Genomic DNA, 12,455 nt, shown 5'->3' on the forward strand with positions numbered 1-12,455 from the left:
CCAATCCTTTCTCAAGCAGTTTATTTTAAAATAATAATGATTATAGTAAACATGTATTGAAACTTAACTATGTGCCTGCAGTTATGCTGACATACTTAGGCACACCACATGCATTACCTCATTTAACACAATAACTTTATTACGTGGCATTGTTATAACTGTTTTTTGTTTTTTTGAGACAGAGTCTCGCACTGTCACCCAGGCTGGAGTGCAGTGACGTGATCTCGGCTCACTTCAACCTCTGCCTCCCGGATTCAAGCGATTCTCCCACCTCAGTCTCCTGAGTAGCTGGGACCACAGGTGCACACCACCATGCCCAGCTGACTTTTGTATTTTTCATAGAAACAGGGTTTCACCATGTTGGCCAAGGCTGGTCTCAAACTCCTGGCCTCAAGCAATCCGCCTGCTCAGCCTCCCAAAGTGCTAGGAATACAGACATGAACCACCGCACCCAGCCTATAACTGTTTTATAAATGAAATTAAAACACCAAAGTTTTAAGTAAATAGTTCAAGTCCACTCAGCAAACAGACTCTTAAATCTGGAGCCCAAACTGCTCCTCTTAAGCTCTTCTTCAAGCTATGAGTATAGCTTCTATGCCCCTCCAGATGCACAATGAGTTTATTTTAATCAAAGATGAGGCTGGGCATGATGGCTCATGCCCGTAATCCTAGCACTTTGGGAGGCCGAAATGGGCAAATCACTTGAGTTCAGGAGTCTGAGACCAGCCTGGCCACAGGCCACCACATCCAGCTAATTTTTTCAATTTTTATTTTGTAGAGACAGGCTCTTACTGTCTTGCTCAGGCCGGTCTCAAACTCCTGGCTCAAGCGATCCTCCTGCCTCAGCCTCCCAAAGTGTTGAGATTACAGGTGTGAGCCACCACACCTGGCTAAATATTGCAATCCTAAAAATAATGGGAATCCTGAGTTGAACACTGTAACTTCCTAACATGTTCAAGATAACATTCATTTATTCAGTTAACAATTTTTTATTGAGGGATTACTATGTACTACTTATTATTTTAAGAGATTGAGGATATAGCAGTAAACAATATAAAGTTTTTGCCCTCATACCTATACTCTAGACTCTGAAGAATTCTCATACCTTTCTCTTTATCACTGCAAAAGGGCCTTTATTAACTTTTTAAACTTGTATATCCATTCATCATTTCACCTGCAAATATTTTATCATAATATTTTATATTACTTTATTGTAAAGATTTTGAAAACATATTTTTAAGGGCAGCATTTGTTCCTCTAAAGATTATAAGATGTAATTTGTCTGCTTTCCCAAGGAAAAGCATTTTCCTTTGTAAAAATCACCTTACATTAATGATTTCTTGGATCTCACACTCTATTGTAGTATTTCTGTAGCTAAACAATTATAACATGGTGGAGAGTATACTATAATAAAGTTATGTATAAAGTCTCATGGGAACAGATGTAAGAAAAATTAACTGCCTAGGCAGTTTCTGAGGAAAGATAAAGAAAATAGAGCCGACATTTGTCTCGTGGATGAAAAAAGAGTAAGTAGGCATTGACCAGGTTAACACAAGAAGAGGATGTTCTAGGCAATATAGAATTATTAAGAAGATGGCCGGGTGCGGTAGCTCACGCCTGTAATCCTAGCACTTTGCGAGGCCGAGGCGGGCAGATCACCTGAGGTCAGGAGTTCAAGACCAACCTGGCAAACATGGTACCCCATCTCTACTAAAAATACAAAAATCAGCTGGGCATGGTGGCGGGTGCCTGTAGTCCCAGCTACTCGAGAGGCTGAGGCAGGAGAATCTCTTGAACCCGGGAGGCAGAGGCTGTCATGAGCCAAGAGCAAAACTCCATCTCAAAAAAAAAAAAAAAAAAGAAAAGAGGATAGGACTGTAAGCCATATTCATAAAACAGTGACTAGTCTAATATTCCAGAGTACGTGGAGGAGTGAGTGGGGTAATAGTAAATAAACAATGAACAGAAGAGGTGAATTGAATAGGTTCAGGCCATGATGGGACTGGTATGCTAAGCTGAAGAGTTTGAGTGTTGATTTCCTGAAAATATTTTTAATTGGCTGGAAATACCTGCAAACATTAAGCCCTGTTTTGTTAATAGTTGTATAGAGAAGTAGCATGGTTTGATTGGATGAGTTTTTATTTTTATTGCTAGATATGAGTTGTTGGGTTCTTGCTTGTTTTTGTTTTGAGACAGGGCCTCACTTTGTTGCCCAGGCTGGAGTGCAGTGGCACGATCATGGCTCACTGCAGCCTTAATCTCCCATGCCCAAGCAGTCCTCCCATCTCAGCCCCAACAAATACCTGGGACTGTAGGCGTACACCACCATGGCAAGCTAATTTTTTGATTTTTTGTAGAGACAGGGTCTCACCATATTGCCCGGGCTTAACTTTTTTAATGAATAGTTTGAAGAAAAGATTGATGCAATACTTTTTATTAAAATAATGTTTGGCCAGGCGTGGTGGCTCACATCTGTAATCCCAGTACTTTGGGAGGCCTAGGCGGGAGGATAGCTTGAGCCCAAGAGTTCAAGATCAGCCTGGGCAATGCGGCAAAACTTTCATCTCTACAAAAAAATAAAAAAAATTAGCCAGGCATGGTAGCACACACCTGTAGTCCCAGCTACTTGAGAGGCTGAGGTGGGAGGATCACTTGAGCCTGGGATGTGAAGGCTCCAGTGAGCTGTGACCACACCACTATTCTCCAGCCTGGGCAACAGAGCAAGACCCTGTCTCAAAAAAAAATAAAATAAAAAAGTTTAGATATTTTTAAAATGTAAATAACCAAAAGGTAAATGCTATTAAATTACTTGGATCAGCTCATTTTAATATTTTGAATTGTTTTGCACAGTTAAAGACTTTAAAGATATGTCTTTATCTATATATTTTAGAGAATGCAGCTTCATGAGGGAAGACCCAAACAAAAAAGACACCGTTGCAGAAACCCCAATAAACTAGATGTGAATAGTCTCACTGGAGAAGAACGTGTTCAACTGATTAACAGAAGAAATGCTAGAAAGGTATTTTAATGTTTTTTTCTTAATCTTTTGTATTGATTCAATATTTAAGAGATCTCCAGAACACTATTTCATTATGTGGTGGTGTTTTCTAACAGACCTGGAAATGAGTTGAATCTATCAGATTTCTGAGGGAAGACATGCAGTATAATTTTATGCAGTCTAATTTCAAATCTTGCTTCATTAGCTGAGCTATTACATGAAATAAGTCATTTAACACATCTGTGCCTAAGCAGTGCCATTGCACATGATTGTACACTTATACAAGGGCACGACATCAAAAACAGTCATTCTCATCGGGGTGATTTCACCTCTCAAGGAATATTTGTCAGCGTCTGGAGACATCTTTGGTAGCCACAAGGAGAAGATGCTACTGGTATCTAGTGGGTAGAAGCCAGAGATGCTGCTAAACCTCCTACAGTACATAGAACAACCCCCTACAATACCAATTCACAATGTCTGTACTGGAAAGGTTGAGAAACTCTGATCTAAGAGGACACCACTCACATTATAGCCATCATAAATTTATATATTTATCACTGCAATTTTCTGTCAGATGACCTTAACATGTCTTTTTCTATCAAAATCATCATATTACATAATTTCTGATTGATGAAACTAGAATGTCTTGAAGTTACCTTGTAGACTAATGCCACCTTTGTGGCTTATCTTCTTTTACTGAATGATGAATGATAGAGTGGAGATTTTTCAGAAATAGACTTACATAGATTTCTTGTTTTATGTTTGGATTAATATGTTTCTCTTTTACCTCACAAAATAAACAGTAGAAACTTGTGACACTGTTTTGTATATGTATAGCTTTGACACACTTTTTTATTCTGATGAGCAAGCAACAAAATAATTAGGAAAGAAAAAATGGCGTCAGTGTAAGTACATCACATTTCTCATTGCGTTATTTTTCTCATACACTAAATTACCTTACATAGGTCTGGTTCTGATTTACTGTCTGTTAAATGCACTCACTGCTAGGATAAAAATACCCAAAAACATTTGAATTTCTCATAAGAAATATTGGAATTAGAAGAAAACTATTTTAAAATAACAGTTGTTTTAATATTGTTGGGTACACCAACTCTTTAAAGTTAATGTTAATTTTTCCCACAATTTTGTAGAGATAGCTTTTTCAGCTTTTGTTAGTATTTTAAAGTGTAGCATACATGTCTTAAGGAAAGAACAAGGTGACATTTCAGTAGCATTTTACTTAATTTTGTGCTTGTGCAGATTTTGTTACAAATCCTTCTTCTTCATCTTATACCAAAAATTCACATTACTAAATATTATGAATGAGTTTGTCTTAGCCAATTTTAAGGAAATGAAACAATTTGAATTTTTACCTGTTGGGTTTGATATTAAACATTCTAAATTTTATTTTTAATTATTGTAACTTCATGAGAGGTTTGTTCATGTTCCTTAATTTGTAGAGTTTCTAATTGTCTTGAGTCTCTCGGGTACAGGCTTAAGGATTGATGAGTTATTAAGGAAAAGAATCTACCTGCTAAATCCCCATAAACCCCCAAGAGGGCCTCCATTTTCAATAGAAGCTTAATGAAGGAGATAATAAAAAAGAGAAGACAACAGAATTACAGAGACTAAGTAAATATACTTATTTCCTTAAATGTACTTATTTAAATATACTTCTTTAAATATATTATATAAATAAATAGAAGGAGCTGGGGATGTGGTGGTGCACACCTGTAGTCCTAGCTACTCAGGAAGTTCAGGAGGGATGATTGCTTGAGCCCAGGACCTCAAGGCTGCAGTGAACTATGATCACATCACTGCATTCCAGCCTGGGCCACAGAGTGAGACCTTAAAAAAAAGTGAGTGAGTGAGTCTCTTTAAAAAAAAAAAAAAAAAAGAAATACCATGTAAGAATACTTGTGTTGGGTGCAGTGCTCAGGCCTGTAATGACAACACTTTGGGAGGCCAAGGTGGGTGGATCATCTGAGGTCAGGAGTTCAAGACCAGCCTGGTCCAACATGGTGAAACCCTGTCTCTTCTAAAAATAGAAAAATTAGCCAGGCATGGTGGTGGGCACCTATAATCCCAGCTACTCAGGAGGCTGAGGCAGGAGAATCGCTTGAACTTGAAAGTCGGAAGTTGCAGTGAGCCAAGATCGTGCCACTACACTCCAGCCTGAGCGACAGAGTGAGACTCCATCTCAAAAAAATAAATAAATACTTATAGGTAATATAACTGATCATATTAAACCTTATCTGTATCCTATCAAGATATAGTATTTAATCATTCAAAGTGGTATAGAAGAAGAAATTACTCAAGAAATATTTTTAGTCTCTAAAGGGATGTTAAATTGGTAGGTATAAATCACTTGTCCAAATGTAATGTTTTTAATTTAAATTTCAAAATATTATTTTGTCTGTGTCATATTATTACATTTTTTTCCAAATTATTTACTTATGATTGGTTAATTATACATACTTCACATATGAAAGATATATACAATTTTATACTTTTAGGGTGTCAATATATATAATCGATAACAGTATTGGTTTTTGAGACCTAGTTTTGTATCCTGACTCTAACATGTACTAGCTAACTTTAGGCAAATTATATAAATTCTCTGAGGCTCAGTTTCTTCGTTTGAAAAATAGAAATAATACTATCTCCAAAGGAGGTAGTGAGAACTAAAATAAAGTTTACATTTAAAGTACTTAGCACAATACTTGCCATATAATAACTTATATTTATTATGTGACAGGCATTATGCTAAGGTACTTGAATTGTCTCATTTTATCTTTATAAAACCCTATGAGGGAAGTATTATTGTTATCCCCATTTTACAGATCAGAAAATTGAGGCTGAAAGAGATTTACTGATTTGCTCGAGTTCACATAGCTGGTAAGTCTAACTCTAGAGGGTGTACTTTTAACTAGGCTATATGGCCTGTCCAGCATGGTAGTTATTCATTTTACTGTTCTAGTTATTCTACTTAAAACATTTAAAATTTACATTATCACATATTTATATATTACATCAGTAGTCCATAGGGTCACGGTGGGCCTTTTTAATATAATCATAAAGATTACCTAAGGTGGTTCAAAAAATATGTATTTTAAGGAAATAAACTCTGTAGAGCATACAATAAAAGCAATCAAGAGTTTTCTATGTAACAGTGTTGTAGTATTTAATCTGTTTCTAATTTACAGGTTGGAGGTGCATTTGCTCCCCCTTTGAAAGATTTATGTAGATTCCTAAAAGAAAATTCAGAATATGGAGTAGCTCCTGAATGGGGAGATGTTGTTAAGCAATCTGTGAGTATTTTACGAATACTAACTCATACATTATTTTCAAATTAGGTGCCATTCAATTATATCTTAGATTAATTATAATTAATAAAATATTCCATGAATTTGTGACAGCATTTTTCAGTTTGCAATTTTTATTTTGCAGTACATGTTGCAAATTTCTCAGATGCTTCTCAGGTTAGAACAGAAAATCAATACTGATTTGTTTTTACATTAACCTCTAAGATACCATTTGAATGATGCCACAAAGAGTAATCAAATATATGAGCAAATATGTAAGGATATTCATCATGATATACTAGTAAAAAATTGAGAATAAATTAATAGTTCATTAAGATTCTGGAAAACTATGCAATTTTTTTTCTTTTTCTTTTTCTTTTTTTTTTTTTTTTAGACAGGATCCCTCTCTGTCACCCAGGCTGGAGTGCAGTGGCGCAACCTTGGCTCACTGCAACCTTCGCCTCCTGGGTTCAAGTGATTCTCATGCCTCAGCCTTCCAAGTAGCTGGGACAATAGGTGCCACCAACACACCCTGCTAATTTTTGTATTTTTAGTAGAGACGATATTTCGCCATATTGGCCAGGCTGGTCTTGAACTCCTGGCCTCAAGTGATCCACCCACCTCAGCCTCCCAAAGTGCTAGGATTACAGGCCTGAGCCACCATTCCCAGCCTAGGCAACTATTTTAAAGAGTATATCTTAGACCTAGTGCAGTGGCTCACCCCTGTAATCCCAGCACCTTGGGAGGCCGAGGCGGGTGGATCACCTGAGGTCAGGAGTTCGAGACCAGCCGGCCAACACAGAGAAACCCCGTCTCTACTAAAAATACAAAAATTAGCCAGGCAGTAGTCCCAGCTGAGGCTGAGGCTGAGGCAGGAGAATCACTTGAACCCAGGAGGCAGAGGTTGCAGTGAGCCAAGATCGCACCACTGCACTCCAGCCTGGGCAACAGAGGCAAGACTCCATCTCAAAAAAAAAAAAAACATATCTTAGAAGAACATCTAAAGGGAGAGAAAGTTCACAGTATATTAAAATCAGTAGTATTTAAGCTCTTGGGATAGTAAAGCCTACACGTATGCTAATGGTGAATAATTAATAGATATTATTCTTACAGGTGTCCAAATGGAAAGGGCAGGCTATAAAACTAAGTTCGCTGTGATTCTATTTTTTTTGTTTCAGAAAGGGAGGTGGGGGGAATTATAGAATGTGTATAATTGCACAAGGAAAAAAATAGAACACATAATGAAATGTTAGCAATGGTTATCTCTGAATGTTGAGATGATGGATGATTTTTTTAATATTTTTTGTTGTGTTTTCTGCTATGAGCCCTGATGCCTTTGTAAAGAGAAAAAATAAGTTGATTCAGTTCAAAACAAAATTAAACAATAGTCGAATGAGTCTTGTCTTAAACCACTATCTAGAACTGCATTGTCACAAACAGTAGCCCCTCAGTAGCCACAAATAGGCACATGTGGCTGTTGAGCACTTGAAATGTGAATTAACATTAAGTGTAAAATACACAGTGGTTTTGGATTTTGAACACTTTGTTGGAAAAAAAATGTAAAATATCTCAATTTTTATAGATTACATATTGAAGTGACAATATTCAGATTATGTTCTATTAAATAGACTATTACTAAAATTAATGTCACCTGTTTCTGTTTTACCTATTTTAAATGTGGCTACTATAAAATTTCAAGTTACATATGTGGCTTACATTGTATTTCTATTAGATAGTGCTGTTCCAGTGATTCTAAACTCTTAAAACTTCTAAGAGTTCTGGGACCCAGAAAATCATGGGAGAATTACATGAAAGTAGCATAGATTGTTTTCTGTTGTCCTGGACTTTATGGTTCCCAATCTGCAAGTGCTACTGCAGGTGACCTTAACCCACTTTGAGTATCTTTTTGAGCATGGCTCTATCTCCTTTATTCCCAAAGTGACAGTAAAATAATTCATATGAAGCATCTTACTATAACCTTAACCTTTAATATTCCTTCTTTATTGTTCTTCCCAATTAGAAGGGAGCCACTTCTTTGGTCTTCTAGGACAAGTGATGGTGTGAAACATGTAAGGGTTATGGAAGTACCCATGAAAAAATTTTTTTGGACCTTATATTTTCTAGAATTATACTACAATCTTATGTTTTACAGTATGGAGGAAGGCTAAAGACCTCTTTACTCACTTATTCTGTGATAAAATGAAAAGTGGAAGAGCTGTTTGAAGCTACCACTTATATAAAATTAGGTTATTGCTATTATAATTGATTATTTAATATCAGTACAGAATAAATTTACAAATAATTACCTATTTTTCATGGTTATTTGTATGATAAGCTAATAACTCTTTATTTTATTTTCATGTAGGGATTATTAATGAATATATATTTCTTCCAGGGATTTCTTCCAGAAAGCATGTATGAACGTATTCTCACTGGTCCCGTTGTGAGAGAGGAAGTAAGCAGGCGGGGGAGACGGCCTAAAAGTGGAATTGCAAAGGCCACAGCAGCAGCAGCTGCTGCATCTGCCACCAGTGTTTCAGGCAATCCTTTGTTAGCCAATGGACTACTTCCAGGTGTGGATCTCACAACTCTTCAGGCCTTACAACAAAACCTACAAAACTTGCAGTCACTGCAAGTAACTGCTGGGTTGATGGGAATGCCTACCGGCCTTCCTTCTGGAGGAGAAGCTAAAAACATGGCTGCTATGTTCCCCATGCTGCTGTCAGGAATGGCTGGATTACCAAATCTGTTGGGCATGGGAGGACTCCTGACAAAGCCTACGGAATCTGGGACAGAAGACAAAAAGGGAAGTGACTCTAAGGAGTCAGAAGGAAAAACAGAAAGGACAGAGAGCCAAAGTTCAGAGAATGGTGGAGAAAACTCTGTGTCAAGTTCTCCTTCCACATCCTCTACTGCTGCATTAAATACAGCTGCAGCTGCCAACCCATTAGCTCTTAACCCACTATTACTATCTAATATACTTTATCCAGGGATGCTTCTCACTCCAGGCCTTAATCTTCATATTCCAACTTTGTCCCAGTCCAATACTTTTGATGTACAAAACAAAAACAGTGACTTAGGCTCGTCTAAGTCTGTAGAAGTAAAAGAAGAAGATTCCAGAATTAAAGATCAGGAAGACAAAGGAGGAACTGAACCAAGTCCTCTCAATGAAAACAGCACAGATGAGGGTTCAGAGAAAGCTGATGCTTCATCTGGATCTGATAGTACATCGTCGTCATCTGAGGATTCAGATTCTAGTAATGAAGACTGATTCCCAGACTCTGCACTTAAAATATGAACTGATTTTGGATTTTTTCTTTAATAATTAATTGTAAATACCCCAGTGTTGAGTGCATCAATAACTTACTGACCGAACATTTCAGTTATTTGTTTAGAAGTGCAAACTGCTTTCAGAGACTTTTTGCATGTAATATTTCTTAAGATTCATAAGTTTCTGAACTCGTATGTACTATCAAATACATAAAGGTGTAAAATTACAACAAAAGGCATTATAATTTTGTTGGGGGTTAATTTTATGAAAATTATGCTCAATAAGAGTTGTATATTTAATATATTTGCAGTGAACACAGAATACTTTATGCATATTACTGATTTAATTTGAATATAGTTTTACAGCCTCCTTGACACCTATAATTTACAGATCAAAACTCAGCAATAATTTGGGCAGCTAATGAATGTCATGAAAGCTGTAGAATCTACATCACCATCCATTGCTTTAATTACATGAAAATGCTCTAGTGTTGTGATGCACTGCTGATGTTTCCAATTCAGGTACAAGTATGTTTTAAAGAAGAAATAAGTTTCCCAATCAGCCAATTTAACTGGCTACCTGTTACCTCAGCTGAGTTAGTTTAGGAAGTTTACATTCGTTTCTAATTCTATACTTGTTTTCAGGGGTTTTTTAAACACATCCTATATATCATGTCAATCTGGCAAGAAATATGACTTGCTTTTTGCTGAGCTTAATTCAGATATCAGTAAAATTAAGTCATAAAATAATCATGTGTCATGTGACTTTGGCACCCTATAGACATACTTAGTTTTAACTTTTCAAAGTTTGGCCTCCTATTAGAAATAATCATGTCTCAGATGAGTAATGTCTGTTTCCAGGGTTCAGAAAAGGCAAACTCATGAAATGCCACTGAAAAGAACTTTCAACACAGCATACTTCATGTAAAAGAAATTGTTTGTTTGCTTTCTTTGTGTAGATTTCTATTTGTGTTTTATGTCATGGAAATATTCCAGAATTAACAGATAATAGTGGTAAAGTAATATGCAGATAGTCTAAATTCATTTTGAGTTTCTAGGTGTAAGCAGACTAAATGTTGCCCAGAATCAGTGTTGGGTTATCAGTTTATATTAAATATACTGAGTTGCCCGTTTTGAAAATGCACTTTGAATAATCTCAAAAAGATGTACAAGTTATACCTGTAAACCACAAAAGTGAAGCCTGAGGCTTCTGTTCAATTTCATAGACTCCTTTACCATGTAAAATTTGTCTGATATTTGATTTGTGATACAATTTCTCCTGCTAAAGCTGCTATTATTCTGACAAGGTAGAGGTCCAGGTTCACCTTTATATATATTTAAAACAATTAGTACTGAATTGGACATAAAAATATTGACATTCTAAGGAGAGATATATGTTAGCATTTTTCTGGTACTCAAATAAGTTAGTAGTAAAGTCTGCAAGGGCATAAATTTAGGGGGAAAAAGTGTCCCAGTTCTCTCCTACAGAAAAAATACTTTCAGTATGTTTTGATAAAACTGTTGCTTTGTCATGAGTTAGTCAATTGTATCAGGTTTTCCAAGACCTTTACCAGTAAATTATGTTTCTGTATGTAAAATAACCCCTTATTAGAGAGACAGTGTTATATGTATTTACAAAATTATATAAGTTCCATTGGGATTGTATTGATTTTGTATTTTCCCAAAATAGTACTTTGAATTGATAGTCCTTTATGCAATGTCTTAGCAATAGTCTCTATAATGCCCATCCAGGAGAAGTGGGTAGTAATTCTTCATCATGAAAATGATATATTACATATTTAGTATCTTCCCTTTGCAGTATTGCACTTTTGTTTAACTAGAATACACCTATGAGATAGCCAAAGTTTCAAACACAGTTATCTTAGTTTACCGGTGGAGTATTTCAACACCAACCACATTTCCCTTCCTCCCTCTAATTCTACCCACATGATCTTTATTCCTTCCTTTCGCCAATTAAAAAAAAAAAAAAGGAAAAAAAATCTGTAGATCTTGTCACTAAAATCTAATTTATATCAAATTTATGAGAGAAAGTATTTTCCTAATTATGGTCAAATAAATTTGGTTAACATCCTAGTGATTCTCTTTCTATATAATAAGGCAATTACAGTTTTCAAAGCATTAAGTCTAACATAACTTTAAACATTCTCTTAGGTTTCAAGACACTTCTATTTAATATTCATTGGGGAAAAGTTGTCCAGCTATCAGCTAAGAAAACACATGCAAATATGGTTGTGTAAAGTTAAGGGTTATAAGGAAAAAAAAATCAGTAGAATTACATAATACTAAAGTTGCAGTTGAAAGAATATCCAAGTATGTGTTGGTAGTTACTAAAAGAATTATAGCTGTTATTGCCTTGTATTTATAGCCCTTGTTTCAGGTTTTATGATTCAAGTCTTAGTCCAATCTTTCTTTTGGACATTTGCAATATTTACCAGTTGTGTTTTGTGTAGTCTGAATTTGCTTTCTGTAGTTGAGCAAACGTCTTAAAAAGTCATTTGTAATTTATTAAATTACTTTCTATGATGTTCTATAGAGCAAATGGAAGTTTAATTATTTTTTATTAAACATATTCTTTGACTACCCATGATGTCAGCCTCTGTACATGAGAATACTTTTTAAAATTGAATTTTATATAGAATTTATCTTATTCCAGTTATGAGAGACACCATAGTTGTAAATCTTTAAAAGGAAAATATACCGTGGAAGAATTTTTAAAACAAAAATTGGCTATAATTTTATCCACAGTATCTTAAATGCTGTCAATTTTTCATTTTGATTTAATTTTATTAATATTGTTCATTGTGGATATTGGTGACTGCAAAAAAAGCAAAAGCTGCTTCTTGGGCATTCAAATTGTTAAA

General features: G+C 35.6%; 1 protein-coding gene across 43 annotated transcripts in view; it reads left to right on the forward strand.

Moving 5' to 3' along the window:
* The window catches only part of CHD9 (chromodomain helicase DNA binding protein 9), a 272,507-nt gene extending 260,331 nt beyond the window's left edge, over nt 1-12,176 (forward strand). For 39 of the 43 annotated variants that reach the window (XM_047434707.1, XM_047434693.1, XM_047434692.1 and 36 more), the window contains 3 exons: nt 2,891-3,019; nt 6,205-6,309; nt 8,699-12,176. In XM_047434707.1, coding sequence (XP_047290663.1) covers nt 2,891-3,019; nt 6,205-6,309; nt 8,699-9,574 — 1,110 coding nt within the window. In that variant the 3' untranslated portion in view covers nt 9,575-12,176. Of the gene's footprint in view, nt 1-2,890; nt 3,020-4,491; nt 4,631-5,841; nt 5,897-6,204; nt 6,310-8,698 lie in introns of those variants that run through there. The other 4 variants (XM_047434697.1, XM_047434698.1, XR_007064921.1 and 1 more) reach the window with 3 other exon arrangements.
* The last annotated feature ends 279 nt before the right edge of the window (nt 12,177-12,455 follow it).

This window comes from Homo sapiens, chromosome 16 (genome assembly GCF_000001405.40).
Source record: "Homo sapiens chromosome 16, GRCh38.p14 Primary Assembly".
In the NCBI taxonomy this organism is placed as follows: domain Eukaryota; kingdom Metazoa; phylum Chordata; class Mammalia; order Primates; family Hominidae; genus Homo; species Homo sapiens.